The sequence below is a fragment of the Homo sapiens genome, chromosome 9 (assembly GCF_000001405.40).
Source record: "Homo sapiens chromosome 9, GRCh38.p14 Primary Assembly".
Classification (NCBI taxonomy): Eukaryota; Metazoa; Chordata; class Mammalia; order Primates; family Hominidae; genus Homo; species Homo sapiens.
In genome coordinates this window covers 135,376,594-135,395,693 of record NC_000009.12, presented here as the reverse complement: position 1 = coordinate 135,395,693, position 19,100 = coordinate 135,376,594, and the positions used below count along the sequence as shown (strand labels likewise).

Genomic DNA, 19,100 nt, shown 5'->3' with positions numbered 1-19,100 from the left:
TCAGGGGGTTTTTCAACCCTGGAGATTTTCTGCAGGCAGGGTTGCCCCAGGGCTCTGGCCAAATTAGGAGACACTTTATGGGGAAGGTGACAGGGCCAGGGCTGGAAGCAGCTCAAGCCAGAATTTCTATCTCTGATGAGATTTCCCTGGTCAGCATCTTAATGAAGACAGGGCTGCTGGGGCTCCAGGGCTGTGCACGCAGGCTTAATTACTCCTGGCTCTTGGCTCTGCTTGGCGCATGTCTTGCTTCTCTGGGCTTGTTGTCCTTAGGCCTCCCGTCTTGGCTCCAGGCCCAGACCCTGCCTCTGTGTACCTCTTGCTCCTCTGCACAGTACACAGTCCCTCTGCTTATGTTCTGAGCAACCATCCACCTGTCCATTCACCCCTTCTCCATCCCATCCATCCACACACCCATCCATGCATCCATCCATTCACCTGTGCATGCGTACACGCATCCACCCACCTTTCTATCCATCCATCCACCACCCATCCATGCATCAATCTAAGCATCCATTAACTTGTGCATGCAAACATGCATCCACCCACCTTTCTGTCTGTCCTTCCACTGCTCATCCATCTACCCTTTCACCCACTCATCCATCCACCCTTCCATCCACCCATCCACCATTCATCCACCATCCATCCATCCATCCATCCACCACCCATCCACCCCCTCATTCACCCACCCTTCCATCCATCCAAGCATCCATTCACTTCTGCATGCATACATGCATCCACTCACCTTTCTATCCATCCATCCACTCATCCATCCACCCTTCCATCCACCACCCATCCATCCACCCACCCTTCCATCCATCCATCCATCCATCCATCCATCCATCCATCCATCCACCCATCCATCTAAGCATCCATTCACTTGTGCATGCATACATGCATCCACCCACCTTTCTATCCATCCATCCATCCATCCACCCACCCATCCACAATTGCATCCCCTCCTTCTGCACATGTTTCCCTGGAATAACTCAAACACACCAGTCTAGAGCTGGGGGCTGGGAGGAAAAGATTCAAAGGGAAAGAGCCAGGTCTAGTTTCTGCCCTCACAGAGCCACAGTCTGCTGGGGTGAAAGACAAGCAAAGTGGCTGCATCCGTCCACATGGAGAAGGGTTGGCTGACAGCAGCACTGAGTGCTAAGAGGGTCAAGGAGGTTGTGTCATGTGGAGGGGTGGGGCTTCCTGGAGGACAGACAGCAAAGCCAAGATATTGGAGGCCTTGTCTCCTGGGTGAAACTAGCTCTGCCCATGGTGTCTTTTGATACGGGAGGAGGAGACAGCACAAATGTCCTTGTTGACCGCCCATATGGGGGTGGTGCTGCCAGCCTGCCCACGAGCCATCTGCCTGGTTCCTTCCCTTCCCTGAACACGCTGGAGCCTGTGGGCTGTCATGCTCCCTGCACAGTGGGCAGATGCACATGTGGGCCTTGGGCTCCTGCCCCACAAGGCGCCCAGCAGGCTGGTATCCTGATGAAGGGGTGGCCTGGTGAGGTCAGTGGGACCTGGGACGCTCCTCCTAGGGGCACAGCACCTTACAGTTCGGGAGGTGCTTCTCCAGTGTTTTGTTCAGTTCCTGTGACCGTCCATCCTGGGACGGGCAAGGCAGGGCCCCTTGCTGCCTCCTGGAAGTGAAGACTGGGGCCTAGGTTTCAGTGAGTGTACATGGCAGAGCCTGCAGGGGCAGGGCTGGGACGGGGCCTCAAGTTCTGTGTGCTTCAACCCCTCCTCCGAGGGAGCAGGGACGGTGCAGTGGGAGGGCACAGGGCTCCGGAGTTGAAAGCACTGGTGTCCTGTGGGGGTGCTTTCCACCCACACTGGGCTGGGATTAAGCACATGGGGTGTGGGCCTGGGCAGAACGGTGGAAGGCAGTGCCCTGGAGGCAGCGATGGTGTCTCCTGCCAGGCTGTTTACTTTGGCAAACAGTGCTCGTGTGTGTGTGTGTGTGTGTGTGTGTGTGTGTGTGTGTGTGTGTGTGTGTTAAGATACATGTCATCCCTCCCGGCTTTGGGAAGGCATTCAACAGAGCACCTGCTAACAAGCTGGAGGCTCAGTTGTTCTCTGTACACACTCTTGAGGTCCCACCGTGGGCCGGGCCCTGTGCCTGTGGGGAGTCAGCCTTGGGTGTCTCCTCGGAGGCACTCTTGCCCTTTGGGGCTGGACCATCATTGTTTGTGAGGGGCCGGCCCGTGCATTGTTGGGGGTTGAAGAGCATCCCCGGCCTCTGCCCACTTGAGGCAGCAGCTCCCCCTCCTCTGTGACAGCCCAAGTGTCCCAGGCATTGGGGGTAGAGGTAGGTGCCCCTCTATAGCTATGAGCACAGCAGACCCTCTGCTGACCTACTGCTGCTCACAGTGGGTGGGTGACAGAGAAGAAATGGGACAGTTGCACTGCAGGGTGGTCCCCACAAAGACGGGGGAGCCCCGGAGGCTGTGGGGTGCCCTTGGAGTGCAGGCAAGTCATGGGGGTAGGCGGCTTCTCAGCTGAAATCAGAGACTCCACAGGAGGCATTCAGATGGAGACGGGGGACAGGCATCCTAAGGGCTTGAGGCAGGCAAGGTGGGCACAGTCTCGGGGGCCAGGTTGGGTGTGGGGGCTGGAAGGGGGCCCAGCCAGTCCCAGAGCAGTGGGCAGGAGGGGCCATGGGAGGCCCCTTTGTGGTCTGGCCCCTTTTCTGGCTGATGAGGGGTTGGGTGGGAAGGGGGACCAGGAGACAGGGTCTCGGGCATCTGGGAGGAGAAGGGGACTTTGCCGAGCTGGGGAGTCAGGCAGGACAGGCCATGCCCAGGGCACCTGGTGACTCCTGACTCAAGCTATCTCACTTCTTTTCCTCGCTTCTCCTGACCGCTGGAGGTCTGTGCTCTTAGAAGCTCCTGCTCTGGCCTCTGGCAGGATGAGAGCAGAGCAGTTGGGAGCTTCCGTGGAGGGCAGCCTGACCTGGCAGATCACTGAAGGTGATAATTAGAGGCTCAGGCTCACAGCTGCATTAGAAAAGCTAGGAAGCACAAAGGGCCTCGGCAGGGAAGGCCATTAGTCACCGGCCTAACTGCCCTGGCCGGGTCTGGTTGACCTGGGCGAGGACCTGGCTATGCCCATGTGGCTCCAACTTGTGGATGCTGCCTCTGTGGGTGGGCGGCGGGACAGGCTCACCCCACTGGTGCTGGGGCAGTGGGGCCAGCCAGGCCTCACCAGCACATGGACACCTCCCTCCTCCCTACTGAAGAGCTCGTGGGGTGGAGGGCGGCATCCCGCTCTCCCCCTTCCTTGTGGAGGGACGTGAAGGGAGGCTGTGTTGGCCACAGGTCCTCCCTGTGGCCCACTCCTGGCCCCTCCACTGGCCAGGCTCCTCTTGTTCCCAGGCTGGAACTCCTGGCCCGTGTGGTCTTGCTGTTCCAGGATGGAATCGTCCCATTTCTAAGGGGTACCTGAGAGGAGATAGGGCAGGGCCAGAGAACTGGCCATGAACAGTGGGACCCTGTGGGACAATGGAAAATCAACACCCTCCAATGCGTTGGGGACAAGATTTCCCAACACATGCACCCCCAGCCTTCCCTCCCAGGATGGCCCTCTGTGGGGAGTTTTGGGCTTGGTAGTCTGGCTGCTGGTGGGTGAGGGGGTGTGGGGAGAGGGCAGGAGAGGTGGGGAGGAGGCAGGATGCCAGAGGCTGGCGTGGGGCTGGTCTCTCGGACTCGTGTCACGAAGCACCTGGATGTAGGCACAGAGGCCACAAAACCACACAAGGCCGAATGCCCAAGGGGCTGAGAGAGCGGGCGGCGGGGACTCAGGCTCGGGGAGGGAGATTTTGGTGGCTTCAGAGGGCAGGGGACTCTGGAACGTATGTGGGGTGTGCAAGAAGAAACAGAAAAGTCCAAGCACTTTGTGGAGTCTCTGTGCTCCACGAATCAAGTAGATTCGTGTTTTTAAAGAAGCCTAGATAAAGACCAGGATTTCTTTGATGAGTGCATTTCGGCGGTTGGACTGTAGGTCTTTGAACTGGACTGTGGCAGACCGTGGGGTAGACTCAGGTTGCATAAAGAAGTCCTGGGGAAACGAGAGCACAGGCATCCCGGGGTCTGCCCGGCGCCCCGAGGCAGGAGTGCCTGCTTTGGGAAGCCTCGCGCAGCCGCCTGGAGGAGCGGAGCTGGCGCAGGTGTCCGTGGCGATGCTCTTTGTTGTGTGGAGTGGGCGTCGCGTGGATGTCTGTCTCTTGGGGTACGATGTTGTGTACAGTGCCAGTGGCACATACAGAAGTGGGGCTCAGACACCCATGTGGCCTGAGGCTTCCCGGGAACTCAGAATCAGGGTTGAGCCACTTTGACGGGGTTCTTTGAGGGGCAGGGGTCCCCCTACCTCTGGATCACACCACACTGGGCAGAGCACTTCATGGCGTCCAGGAGGAAGTTACCTGTTCAAGCTACAGTGCTGGAGAGTTGGTTAGTCCAGTGGGCCCCCGGGGCTGCCACCTTCTCCCTCATCCTCTGCATGAGCTCCTGACATCCTGCAGGACCCCTGGCTCGATCCCCACATTCCCACCCTCCCGACTGCCACGCCGAAGCCCCTAGCATCCTGCCTTCATCCTCTCCAGCCTAAAACTGCCGATGGTGGCCACAAAGCTGGAACATTCCCCATGGCTCAGGCTGGCATTTGAGACCCCGGGTTGTTGGCCTTGCCTCTTGGGACCCCCAACCCCCCAACACACCTGTTCCAGCTGCACAATCCATGGAGCACGCTGGGTGTGGCCGCCTCTGGCCATGGTTGTGCCCTAGTGCCCTCACCTGCCTTCCCTTTAAGGCACAGCCAGCTCCACCTTCCTGGAGAACCCCCACCCTGCCCCCATGGCTGCCCCCTCCTTTGGCTCCTCTCCACATCCCCTGCACCCAACACCATGTCTGGTGCACACTAGCTTAGTTAGGAGCACCTGCATGCTGTCCTCTGGTCTCTACCACTGAGCTCAGCCCCAGGGGCCCTGATGCCATCCGGGCTGGTCAGAGCCTTCACAGGTCCCATCTTCCGTATCTCCTGCCCCCCAGACTGGTGGCGCCCCATCCTTCCCTGGAGCAAGGGCCCTCCAGGCACTGCCCTGTTTCTCCCCCACCTCATCCCTCCGTGGGTCACCGCCTCTCTGCCCACCTCCTTCCTCATTTCTTGTCCTGCCCTTGTGGTGAGAATAGGATGCAAAATCCTTCCACGAGACACCTTGTTGGGTGTGGGTTGGTGCAGGGGGCTCAGGGAAACTTTTCCTGTCCTGGGACTGAGGCCAGCTGCACAACCAGCAGGGTCCAGTGCCCAGTGGAAATGTGGGCCTGTCATCCAAAGGCTAAGAACTTCAGGAAGACAACAGCAGGCCCATGCGGCTGCCGGGGCTGGAGGCAGCAGCCAGGGCCCCAGCCCTGCCTGGGAACCACGGTCCCAGGGGACGGCTGTCCGTAGCTCACCTCTGGAGCTTCTTCCTGGAGGAGGAGGGCAGCATCAGACCGACTCTGTGGTCAGTGTGTACTCTGCTTTTCTAGAAACTCAGGGGCCATGAATTTGGACAAACAGCTGTGACAACGAGTGTTTGGTTGAATCCACTGAGGGAGGATGAGGCCACCGCCCTGGAAAATCCCGGGGCTGAGTGGGGAGCAGGGCTTGGAGTCACACAGGCTCAGGCCTGTCTATACCACCCTGGAGGACCTCGGACACATGCAGCTCTCAGGATCTCAGTTTTTTTATTTGGGAATTGAAGACGTGAACAACCCTGCCTGTCAGTGGCGGGACACGGTTATGACCAGCTGTGGGGGAGAAGAGGCCCCCGGGGGCCTTTCCGCCCTCCAAGATTGCATGGGCTGTGGGGAGCGTCTGCAAGGGGCACAGGGTGGACGTGCTCCCAGCAGCCCCCTCCAGCTCTTCCCCCCTCCTTCTTCATATGAGCTCTTTCTTTGACAGAACTCCTTGTTCCTCACAGCCCTCTCTGGTCATATTTATTTTATTCTATGGCTTTGATCTGTAAAGTATCTGGAAAATCCTTTCTCAGAAGGTACTGGCTTCTGCCTCACTGGTTAGTAGTTAAACGCGGTGTTTAAACATTTCATGGACTCTTGGTACCTTTTTTATTACAGAGGCCCATTGGCTGTGGATCGGTGGCTTGGTTTGTCTCTCCTGGGTCTCAGGGAAGCCTAGGAGACAAGAGAAGATGAGTACCAAAGAGAGGCTGCCAGGCCCCTTGTCCAGAAAAGGCGCCACGGTGCCCAGTGCCACGGGCCCAGCAGGAAGGTAGAGCCAGCCAGGACCCCGGGAGAGTCCAGGCTGGGCCTAATCCTTCCAGGTCTCCAGCTCCTGCATGTCATTCTGCATGCAGTAATGACAGTGAGAAGGAAGTAGGTACAAATTGCAAGGCCCCAGGGCCTGGGAAGACTTTCCCCTTCCTTCTCTCTGGGGCTCCCACACCTGCCTCCTGGTCCCTGATTGGCAGGGTGGCTGGAGCTCAGGAGGCATTTCCAGCTCCCCTGTGGGGCTCCATCCTCCTGATGGGTCTGGAGCCCCTGAGCTCTGGGCTTGCCTGACCACTGCTCCTTCCCCAGCTCACAAAGAGCCTCTGCGGGCCTGTAGCACCCACACTCTCAGGAGCACCAGGAGGCGAGGACTAGCCCGTCCTGTGGTAAGCAATGAGGCTGAGGCTGTAAGACGAGAGCTGGTGGGTGTGAGACGTGAGAGGCACCCTGTTTTCATGTTGTCCTCATCTCCCCTTAGAATGGAGATGGGGATGCTGCTGGGGTGACATGGGCTTGGGCCAGCTCTGGTGGCTACGTGTTCCCATACGTCGAACTCAGACATGATGGTCTTGGTGGGAACCTGCCCCAAAGCCTCTGTGATCCCCTCGTCTCCCAAATCCAGACTCAATATGTGAGACACAGCTCTTAAAGACACAAGGTAACACATTGGTTCAGCCCGGAAAGGCGGGACAACTCAAAGGGCGGTGCTTACAAGTGATAGGTAGATTAAAAAATTTTCTGACTGGCAATTGGTTGGAAGAGTTACTATCTATAGAGAGGAATGTCTGGGTTATCTGGGCTATGATAACAGGTTGCAGAGACCAAAGTTTGATCTCGCAGATGAGGCCTCCTTTTATGGATTCAGAATGGGAGTGCATGCAGATTGGTTTGTGAGTTTGCAAAAAGGTGTCAGAGGGAATAGATCCTAAACACTTTTTTTTTTTTTTTTTGAGATGGAATTTCACTCTTGTTGCCAGGCTAGAGTGCAATGGTGCAATCTCAGCTCACTGCAACCTCCGCCTCCCGGGTTCAAACAGTTCTCCTGCCTCAGCTTCCCAAGTAGCTGGGATTACAGGTGCACACCACCACGCCCAGTTAATTTTTGTATTTTTTAAGTAGAGAAGGTGTTTCACCATGTTGGCCGGGCTGGACTCAAACTCCTGACCTCAGGTGATCCGTCCACCTCAGCCTCCCAACGTGCTGGGATAACATGGGTGAGCCACCGTGCCCGGCCTCCTAAATGCTTTTTATCTGACTTAAGGTCTGTATTGATTGTGCTGGAGGGTGTAATGAGGCAAAAGCCCAACCACTACTTCCCGTCCAGGGTCAAGGCCTGAACCAGTCTTTCAGGTTAAATTTTAGAGTGTCCTGGCCAAGAAGGCAGTCCATTCAGATGGTTGGGGGGCCTTAGAATTTTATTTTTGGTTTACAAATGAAACGTGGAGAGAAAAACCCTCAAACATTTGAACGGTGCATCGGAGTTGGAGCAGCCGAAGATCTGCTCCACTGCGGTCCCTGAGAGAGAAGAGAGGAGCGCATAAAACATCTGCAAAAATAATGGCTGATGAATTTCCAGATTTGATAAAAACCACAGACCTGGGGATCTGGGAAGCTCAGCGAACCCCAAGCACAAGAAGAATGAAAAAACCTGCAAAAACACGTGATCATCAAATTGCCAAAACCAATGATACAGAGAAAGTTTTAAGAAGAGTCACAGGAAAAGGACGTGTGACATTCCGAGGAACAAGGACAGCAGCAGGTTTCCCAACCAAGACAAGCAAGGGGACGGAGGGGCAAGATCTTCAACACACAGAAAGAAACACAAAACAGAACTGCCAATCTAGAATCCACGCCCCATCAAAACGCCTTTCTTTTTAAAATTATTATTATTGTTGTTGTTTGAGATGGAGTCTTGCTTTGTTGCCCAGACTGGAGTGCAGTGGCCTGATCTTGACTCACTGCAACCTCCACCTCTCGGGTTCAAGCGATTCTCCTGTCTCAGCCTCCCGAGCAGCTGGGATTACAGATGCGCACCACCACGCCCAGGTAATTTTTGTATTTTTTTAGTAGAGATGGGGTTTCTCCATGTTGGTCAGGCTGGTATCGAATTCCTGGCCTTAGGTGATCCACCCACCTTGGTCTCCCAAAGTGCTGGGATTACGGGCGTGAGCCACTGCGCCTGGCCCAAAACACTTCTTGTATTCTTATATTTAAGACCTATTCTTGGCCGAGTGCAGTGGCTCACACCTGTAATCCCAGCACTTTGGGAGGCCGAGACGGGTGGATCACCTGAGGTCAGGAGTTCGAGACCAGCCTGGCCAATATTGCAAAACCCCGTCTCTACTAAAAATACAAAAATTGGTCGGGCACGGTGGTGGGTGCCTATAATCCCAGATACTTGGCTGGCTGAGGCAGGAGAATCGCTTGAACCACGCAGAGGTTGCAGTAAGCTGAGATTGTGCCACTGTACTCTAGCCTGGGTGACAGAGTGAGATTCTGTCTCAAACAAAACAAAACAAAAAACAAAAATACCCTATTCTTATAGGAACAGATCTTACTCCAGACAGAATAAGACCAGCAGAAATGGTAATATGTGGGTAAAAGAAAAAATATGTTTTTTCTTATAATTTACATGTTTTTACAAACAGTCATGACATTAAGTAACATTTACTGAATGACTCCAGGTGCCTTCACTTTACATATTCCATAACTTTCTTTTTTTTTCTTTCTCTTTTTTTTTTTTTTTTTGAGATGGAGTCTTGCTCTGTCGCCCAGGCTAGAGTACAGTGACGCTATCTTGGCTCACTGCAAGCTCCACCTCCCGGGTTCACGCCATTTTCCTGCCTCAGCCTCCCGAGTAGCTGGGACTACAGGTGTCCGCCACCACACCTGGCTAATTTTTTGTATTTTTAGTAGAGACGGGGTTTCACCATGTTAGCCAGGATGGTCTCCATCTCCTGACCTCGTGATCCACCCACCTTGGCCTCCCAAAGTGCTGGGATTACAGGCATGAGCCACCATGCCCGGCCACAATCACTTTCCATTTTCAAAAAACCCACTGGGGCAGGTACAATTCTCTGTCCATTTTATAGATGAAGAAACTAAGGCTTGGAGGGGGTCACAGGACACGGGCAATGGAACACACATTGTACCAGGTCAAAGCCCAGAGTGAAATTTGGCCACCTTCAGTCTCCAAACTGTGCTGACAGCCACTCTTCTTGTCCCAAACCAGCCCTCTCTTCCCACCAAACCCTGGTCTCACCTGGGCCATGTGGGCCCCACACTCAGATCCCTGTGGGTCTTGCCACCACGGAGTGGGGAGGCTGAGGCCCCTTCCTTTTCAGTCTGGTTTTCTGCAGCGTTGCTAGAGCTTGCCAGGAGATGAAATATGGGCCGGGGCTGTTGCTGTGGCAACCACTCATCATTTATGAATGGCCTGGGAGCCCACTGGCTCAACCAACCAGGAGTGATTTGCTGGTTCTGCTGCACTGAACTGCAGCTCAGCCCTCAGACGCAGGGTGGGCACGGGGAGGGTGGAGGGCCATACAGAGAGCTCGAGACTCCGCCTGTTCATTGCCCCTTGCCATCCTCTCTCACCCCAGAAATCATCTTTTTGGCTTCTTCTCCAAGTGCTTAGTCACACACCAGGTCGCACACGGTAGACCTGACCCCAGCCTGAGACTGACCTGTGGGCCAAAGTGGGGTCAGCCCCCACCTCGCTCCCAATGTCCGCCTCTGAGTCCATCGAGCCATCTGGTCACCTGTACCCCTTCCCATCCCGTGGAGCACCTGGCCAGCGTGGCTTTGCTGGTTTATGATGTGTGTGGCTTCTGTTCATGTGGAAACCGTAGGAGCAAACAAATGGAACGAGGGTGCACGGTGGCCAGTGCTGGCCTGTGCAGAGGAGCGCTGCTCTCGCTCAGTGTATGCTCTGCAGAGAAGTTCTGATAAAAATAAACACGTTACTGTGGCAAAAGACACAACATAATTCACCATACTAACCATTTCTTTTTTTTTGAGACAAGGTCTTGCTCTGCCGCCCAGGCTGGAGTGCAGTGGCAGGATCTTGGCTCACTGCAGCCTTGACCTCCTGGGCTCATGTGATCCGCCTGCCTCGGCCTCCTGAGTAGCTGGGACCACAGGTGCACCTAACCATTCCTAGCCATTCCTAGCCATTCCTAGCCATTCCTAGCCATTTGTAACCATTCCTAGCCATTCCTAACCATTCCTAGCCATTCCTAACCATTCCTAACCATTCCTAGCCATTCCTAACCATTCCTAGCCATTCCTAGCCATTCCTAGCCATTCCTAACCATTCCTAGCCATTCCTAGCCATTCCTAACCATTCCTAGCCATTCCTAGCCATTCCTAACCATTCCTAGCCATTCCTAACCATTCCTAACCATTCCTAGCCATTCCTAGCCATTCCTAGCCATTCCTAGCCATTCCTAACCATTCCTAGCCATTCCTAACCATTCCTAACCATTCCTAACCATTCCTAACCATTCCTAGCCATTCCTGACCAAGTGCGCAGCTCGGCAGCACTAAGCACATTCACATGGCTGTGCAGCCGTGACCGCCTCCTTCTCCAGAACTTCTCCATCTTCCCAAACTGATGCTCTGTCCCCATTCAGCACACACTCCTCGTCCTCCTCCCAACCCTGGGACCGTCTGCACATACTCGCCCAGGTCAAGCCCTGCCTTCCCGCAGGAGGGCCCTTCAGGTGGGGAGGGGCTGGGGGGCCTGGTCAGCTTGTTCTCCAGCCCCCCTAACCATGTCCACCCTGCCCCCACCTCAGCAGAGTCAGGGAGAGGCAGGGGCGGAAGGGTCCCCAGGGAGGGAGCCTAGGTGTCTGTGCGGGTGCTGCTGGGCGTGGCCGGCTCCTGGGGGGTTGCCATGCCCAGGTGTGTCCCCCTACATCCGTGTGCTGGAAACATCATCCCCAGGGCGAGTGTGGAGAGGGAGAGCACCCTCACTGCATGCCGAGCCTGCTGGAGGCTGGACTTTGGCCTCCCAGCCCCCAGAACTGGGAGAAACACACCTCTGCTCTGTAAATTACCCAGCCTCAGGCATTCTGTTAGAGCCGCATAAAAGGACTGAGGCAGGGTCCTCGTGCGGGTGCGGGAGACCCCATCTCTGAGGCTCTCTTGCCTGTGGCTTCCTGGACGGGGGGAAGCCTCCTGGCTGGCCACCTGCCGCAGCCCTTCTCCTGGATCACTTGGTCACTCCAAGTGGTCCTCATGGGAGGGGTCTCTTTCAAGATGACCAGAGCCCAGCCCCCCTCTGGAGGAGCTGGCTTGTGTCCCTGCCCCAAACCGTCCAGCCTCAGCTCCTTGCCTTGGGCTGCCCTCTCTGGTGGGACACCCCAGCCCTGGGGTCCCCTCCCTTGACCTGCAGCGGCAGGAGGCGCACTGCTTCCCTGCTCTTGGCTGTGGGGGCAACTTTTTCTTCAGGGAAAGCTCATGTTACTTTCCCAAACTCCCAGCAGACTCTTCAAGTCCTCTTTCAAGGTGTGGAGGTGCAGGGGGCAGGTGTGGGCAGAGCCAGTAATCCAGCCCCAGGCAGCCCCGCACAGGTGAGCTATCGGGTGAGCTATCCTGGTTCTAAATGTGCAGGTCACGTGGAAACTGTCACTGGTGGGTCTCAGAGGAAATGCTCAAATGGTGATTCCCAACTCCAGGGGCACATGGAGCCACCAGCCTCCAAGAGGTCACGTCCAGTGCAGAAGAAGGACATGGGCCCGAGCAAGATGGCTCATGCCTGCAATCCCAGCACTTAAGGAGGCTGAGGCAAGCGGATGACTTGAGGTCAGGAGTTCGAGACCAGCCTGGCCAACATGGGAAACCCTGTCTCTACTAAAAATATAAAAATTAGCCGGGCGTGGTGGCGCATGCCTGTAATCCCAGGTATTCGGGAGGCTGAGGCTGGAGAATTGTTTGAAATTGGGAGGCGGAGGTTGCAGTGAGCCGAGATGGTGCCACACTGCACTCCAGCCTGGGTGACAGAGCGAGACTCTGTCTCAAAAAAAAAAAAAAGGACATGGGACCAAAGAATGGGCAGTGCTCTTGGGGGCCAGGGGCGGCCAAGTTTAGGAGATAGTGGGGGCCGGAGAGCAATCTCCCAGAAGAGGAAGGCGAACGATGGTGAACATTTCTGGGACAGCAAAGGCCCGACCCCTCCAGGGTCCACGAATTGCCGGCAGCCGTGGCCACGAGGACCCTGCCTGGGGCTCTACATCTGGTGTCGGTTGCCTATTTTTTAAAGTTGTCGGAGAGCGGGGGGCACACAAGAGTGGGAGGGGCTTGGGGCCTTCTGCTGCCAGCCCTGATCGAGAAGTGGGTACGGCACCCCCACCCCCTCATGCGTCGTTTAGCAGGGGTGATGGCTGGATTTGCAGAGGGAAGTTAGGAGTTTTCAGGGAGCCTGGCAGATTTTGTTCAAGGAAAGAGCCATCAATCAGGGACGTAGTTTAGGGCCGTTAGTGTGTAACTTGCTGTGCTAGTAGACATGTGGGTGCTGAGAGCCTAGGCTGGGCTGGGCAGTGAACGGTGGTGCTGCTGACGCCAGCAGGACTGTGAGTGGCCCTGAGCACAAGCCTTAAAGAAAAGAAGGAACTCCGCACGGTTTCTGCAGAGTGGTTGGGGGCCCTCCTGCCTCTGTGTGGAGCTCAGACCCAGACATGTCTACAGAGCCACACTCTGACCCACCCTGAGACCCCACACACAGACTGACTACTCTTTAGACCCCTGAGGCACCCAGCCGTGCAGGGACACTGATGAGCCTGCAGGAAGAGAGGGCCGCCAGGGCAGAGAGGGGCTCAGCCTGGAGGCCCATGGCCAGGCTGCCTCTTGTGATTTGGGAGGGGTCTCCTAACTCAGCAGTGACCTGGACAGATACACTGACCCTGGCCTGGCTGTGCTACCTGCGGTCATCTAGTGAGGGCCGCACATTCTCTGTCTTCCCACGGAGAGGTGGACTCAGCCCCACCCGCCTTCCTCGGCTTCACGCTCATGGCTTCCTTGCCATGAGCATATGAGTAGAATATGGAGGAAGTGTGGCTGCCTGGCTTCCGAGGCCAGGTCTGCTGGTGCCCGGTGCTTCTGCCTGGGCCTCTTGGAATTCTCGCTCTCGCAGCCATGCAAGAAGCCCAACTGCACTGCTGTAGGGACCAAGGGGAGAGGTGCCCTGCGGGGGATGGAGGAGGAGAGGGGCCCTACAGCGGATGGAGGAGGAGAGGGGCCCTGCGGCGGATGGAGGAGGAAAGGGGCCCAGCAGAGCCTGCCCGCCAGCACCCCCTGCTGAGGCACTCCCAGATACGAGTTCACTTCCACAGGAGCAGACAACAATATAGATTTACACTTTCTTCTAGGGCTATGTTAACTCTTCTGCCCTCTGACATAATACACATCCCACAGAGTGTCATATTGATCCAGAACAAGGCTGACATCATGTCAGTTGGGCCAGACGAGCAGGAGGCAGCATGCACGGTGGAGGCCCTGGTGTGACATATGCACTCCCAAGGGTGGAGAATGCCCCTTTGCAGATCGGGAACCTGCCACAACTAGAAAATGTTTAGGAGTCTGGTGGTCAAATGTGTGCTGGGATTTGTCCTCCAAAGTCACAGATAAATTATTGCATCTGCACCTCCTGCCACAAAAGAAGCACAGTGTGTGGTGGGCGTTTTCAGGTTCTGGAAGCAGCAGATTCGATGGGCAGGGATGGAGCTTCCGTCTATGGAGGGAGCAACACAGATGCTGTCAGATTTGAATGGGGCAGGAAATGGCTCTGTATTAGTCCGTTCTCATGCTGCTAATAGAGACATTCCCAAGACTGGGTAATTTATAAAGGAAAGAGGTTTAATGGACTCACAGTTCCACATGGCTGGGGAGGCCTCACAATCATGGCGGAAGGCAAGGAGGAGCAAGTCACATCTTACATGATGGCAGGCAAGAGAGAGCATGTGCAGGGGAACTCCCCATTATCAGACCATCAAATCTCATGAGATTTATTCTCTATCACGAGAACAGCACGGGAAAGAACCGCCCCCATGATTCAGTTATCTCCCACCGGGTCCCTCCCACAACACGTGGGAATTATGGGGGCTATAATTTGAGATGAGATTTGGGTGGGGACATGACCAAAACATGTCAAGCTCTGTAGTGCTAGCAGCCCTGCTTCTCAGGCCCTGGGATCAGGAGGACACCGTGGAGTTGGAGGTGTCAGTGGTGGGAAAGGATGTGGGGCAAAGTTTCAGCCAGGCCTTGGGGGAGAACATGTGGGTTCTCATCCTATGACTGCAGGGAAATAAATGCCTCTGAAAACAACTCCTACTATGCCAGTGGGCCCTAGGAGGGACAGAACACCCGACCACAGGACATCAGGCGACTCTGTGGCCTGAAAATCTCTTCAGGAGATAGGTGGCATCAGGCCTACCCAGTCCTAAGGCCGGATGTGTCTAGCAATAATCCCTCATGAGAAGGAAAGGGCCCAGGACCACCCATGAGCAGGCCCAGAGGCACCATCGAGCGACATGGGTAGGTGGCCCTGGACCCGCAGCACCCAGCCCATTGCACCAGGCAACTCCCTCAGCTCAGGCCTTCAGAACGGCCACACAGGGAGGGCAGACCCAAGCTGGGTCATGGACGTGAGAGTGCACACTGCACACTGAACACGGATGGCACCCTCACCACGGCCCCCTCGAGGGGACACCTTGGAAGACAGCACAGAGGGCAAACGCTCAGTGGGGAAAGGCCAGGGCCTGGGGGCGGCGGGGGCTTTGGGGCTTGGCTCCCCAGCCTCCAGGACTATCAGTGACAAATGTTTGTCTTCCAGAAGCCACCCAGTTTATGGTATTTTTGTCATAGCGGTCCAAACAGATGAAGACACCTCCCCAATGTGGGTGGCCTCATTGAGGCCATAGAGAGCCGGAATAGAACAAAAGGCAGTGCCAGGGAGGACTTGCCTGGGGCCTGATGCCTTCCAGCTGGGACTCTGGTGTTCTCCTGCCTTTGGACTCTGACTCTGACTAGAGCCCACACCATCCACTTCCCCGGTTCTCAGCCTTTGTACTGGGGCTGGGACTGCACCGTGGGCTCTTCCGGGCCTCCAGCTTGCCGATGGCCGATGGCTGGGCTTCTCAGTCTCCATAATCGTGTGAACCAATTCCTCATAATAAATCTCTCTCTGTCTATACCGCCTATTCATTGTGTTTCTCCGGAGCACCCTGAGGAGTCTAGGAGTCTGGCACAGAGACGCGTGGGCAGACGTAGGCAGTGAAGATCCTGTATCACATGTTAAAGCCACAGGGGGCCACTGAACGGCCAGAGACAAACTGACTCAGCTGGTTGACGTCATCAGCTTTGGTCACCTGCCACCTGGCACTGACACAGTGGGCATGAGGATGGAGGGACCATGGTGGCTGAGATGGAGACTACACACGTCCCCACAGGAGGGCTCCCACCTGCCAGGCTGACCCAGCTCCTGTGGCCACCAGGTGTCCAACCTGCCAGCAAAAAAGACCATGCTGAGCCCGGGAAATGGCTCCATTCCTTGGGGAACAACTGCCCACTTGGTGGCAGGTGAACTGCCAGGGGCTGGGCCGAGCTGGAGAGGGCCAGCTCACTGGAGTAGATAATGAAGGCACCAAGCCCTGGTGAGAGTCATGGCCCAGGCTTTAATCACTGCAGGTGTCTGCTGGGGCTGCGGTGACACAAGACCACAGGCTGGTGGCATAAGCAACAGAAACTTATCTTCTCACAGTTCTGCAGGCTGGAAGTCCAAGATCAAGGTGTCAGCTGATGTGGTTTCTGGTGAGGGCTCTCTGTCTGGCCTGCAGACAGCCACCTTCTTGCTGTGTCCTCACATGGCCTTTCCCCTGTGCATGTACATCCCAGATGTCTCTTCCTCTTGGCATGGGGACCCCAGTCCTATTGGATTAGGGCTCAGCCTCAGGACCTCTTTTCACCTTAGTTACCCCTTTAAAGGTCTTATCCGCAAATAGTCACATGGGGCAGGGAGTCAACTTATGAATTTAAGAGAACACGGTTTAGCCCATAGCACTCTCTTACTACAATTGGATAAGCAAGAGGCCACAGCAAAGAAAGCCTGGGCCCCCCTCCCCCATTCCACTTTCCTACCTAGAAAGGCCTACATTCAGGGGATCAGCACAGATGTGGGGGTTGCCTCGCTTCCAAGGGAGCCCCAAGCTAAAGGCTCCTGTCATTGTATGAACTTGGGATGTGGGACAGAGAGGGACACGTGTTAGCGGTGCGAAAGCCCTGGGTGCTGAGTGTCCTCAGCTCCCCTCCCTCTGCCTTCCCCCGAGGAGGTAAAGAGACTTCTGAGCAGGGGCTCCCGGGCTAGGGATGTGTGGACTGCGTGAAGGCTTGGCCGGCCGGGCCCTGAGTCTGTGAAGCTCTGCAGCTCTGTCTGGAGACGCAGCCACAGGTCCGTAGGAGGCCGCCTCTGGGAGGGCTGCCGGGCAAAGCTTCACTGCTGCTCGGCTCCTGGATGACTACACTGGGCTCTCCTCCTGGAAGGACAGAGGTGCTTTCTCCAGGGACAGGTGCGGATCCCACGCCTGGGTTTGCCTTTCCTGCTACTGGGCCTCCGCCAGCAGTACTATCTGGGGCCATGCAGAGTGGCTGGCTCGCTTGGCGTGGGACCCCATGTAATGCCACGTCAGACCTGGGCTGGGCACCACTTACCCAGGGCCACTGCTCCCATCGCATATGGCCCATTGGAGCTTACCACCTGGGAGAGTGGTGGGCACACCAATGACCCATGAGAGGTGGTGCCACCCCCCAAGGACCTTGATGTGGTGCTGTGTTCCCAGTGGGAGGGACACACAGGCTTGGACCCAATGGATGGAGTCAGGAATGGCCGCACCTCCCTTCACTCCCAGCGACCCACTGGGGGACCTGTGTTTCCACCCCCACGGCTCAGGTTCAACAGGGTTGAATACTGTTCTCCAGAGCAGCTGTACTCTCACAGGGACACAGCCAGTGTTCTGTTCAGCTTTGAGCCATGGTAGTCGCTGGGGCCCTTTGGGCTCCTTTTTCCAGACACCAGCAGGCAAGAAGGGGGCCAACATCTTGCTGGGGAGACCGACACTAGCCATTGGGGGTTGCTGCTGGCACACATGGGGCGGGACATGCATGTAGAGCCAGCTGACCCCCCTGGGCACCTCCTACAGCTCTCTTGCCTGACTGTGACTGTAACTGGATGGGGACAGTAACCCCCACCCAGAAGGTCCCTCAGGGATGAGGGCCTGAGCCACCCATCAGCAGAAGGGCTGGCTAGGGGTGGGGGAATGGAGCCTGGAGGGTGGATTGGGAGACCCTAAGGACAGAGGTGGGCAGGGGCCGTGGAGGCCCCCAGCATCCTCGGAAGCTTCCAGGAGGGGGCCCTTGGGGATCCTGGAAAGTCGCTCTTTGACTGGACCCCAGTGAGTGAGGGGTGGTCTGTGGGAAGCTTAGAGACCCCCTTGAGGGAGGACGAGGGCTCCCAGCCCATCAGGATCCCCTTCAGCTGCAGGAACCCACCTCTCCCATGGCCACGCCATGTCCATGGACTGAACAAGGGACCCGCTGAGGCTGGGTCATCTCAGCCGAGGTGATGCTCTGACAGGTCACACCCTTGCACCCCCACATGACCTTCTGACTTCTGCATCCCCCAAGAATCTCCTCCAGAGCTAGGAAGACCCCCAACCCCAGATTAACCATCCCAGTCCATGTTCTGGACGAGCCCCCTCGGCCTGGTCATCAGAACAGTGCACCTGCGGCCGGCGGGCTGAAGACTGCCACCAACGTGGGGCCTATCCAATTCAGCCCCTCACCGACCACAGGACGCCTCATCTCAGGGAGGACAGAGGGAGGCTCAGACCCGCACCTGACCCTGAGTCCCCTCCGCCCTGGCTGTGTCCTGGTCAGAGAAGGTGAGTTTATGGGGCCGTGTGCTACCAGTCACTTCTTCCTGGGAAGAGACCCTCTGGTGAGGGGGGGAATGCGCAGTGGCCTCTGCGGGTTGCTTGATATCCAGGTACAAGGTGCCAGAAAGCACCCACCTGCAGTCTTCCCACACTAGTGGAGGTCAGGGCTCACCCCTGGGATCCGAGAACACTTTCGCCTTTGTAATTACTCCCGTGCCGCCTCCAACACCCCAATCCCCGCACAGCACCCCTCGCTGGGGGAAAGCGTCCTACTCGGGAGCCCCGGCTGCACACATATTTAAGTAATGACTCCAGCTACGAGCCATCAGAGCCCTGCAATTGCATTATTAAAAAGAAGTCTCTGTAGACACCTAAAATGCATCAAACTACTCAATATTCCACATTTGATCATAATTAAAAGTAAAAAATATGGGCCACAAGGGGGCTGGTGGTGATGGATTTGCTGCACGGGGTGAATGGAAGTGTTATTAACAGGAGGAAATTGCCAGAGACAGGCTTGGCAAGACGCCTGGTTAGACATGCATGTGGAGGGCCTTGGGGGCCGGTGGTGATTAATGTCACTGACCCCCAAATCCAGGCAGAGAAGTAGCTGTGACCCCGAGACCTGCCCTGGCCCTCCGCCCTGGGGATTCGAGGCCCCCTCTGCTGACCAGGAACCGGGATCTCCCAGTATGAAGGAGGGAGTGTGGGGTGGGGGTATCCCAGCGGGGCTGGCATCAGGGCCGTGTGTGGGGTGGACCCGGGGCCAGATTCCCCGTGCAGTACTGAAGCATGTGATTCCCCCTGCTGAGAGTGCTGGCAGCCGACGGTGGCTCTCAGACCAACCCTCTCCAGAACTGCCTTTGGCTGGAGAGAATAGCCTGGCTCAAGTTGACTCATGACTGGA

The 19,100-nt window shown here is 56.3% G+C and overlaps 2 annotated features.

Annotated features, from left to right (window-relative positions):
* Window positions 2,357–3,024: an enhancer, noted in NCBI's record as "H3K4me1 hESC enhancer chr9:138284516-138285183 (GRCh37/hg19 assembly coordinates)". NCBI's record gives its function as "activates a minimal SCP1, AML or CMV promoter by ChIP-STARR-seq in primed H9 embryonic stem cells {active_cell/tissue: H9 hESC(primed)}" and the evidence as "EXISTENCE:reporter gene assay evidence [ECO:0000049][PMID:30033119]".
* Window positions 17,476–18,413: an enhancer, noted in NCBI's record as "H3K4me1 hESC enhancer chr9:138269127-138270064 (GRCh37/hg19 assembly coordinates)". NCBI's record gives its function as "activates a minimal SCP1, AML or CMV promoter by ChIP-STARR-seq in primed H9 embryonic stem cells {active_cell/tissue: H9 hESC(primed)}" and the evidence as "EXISTENCE:reporter gene assay evidence [ECO:0000049][PMID:30033119]".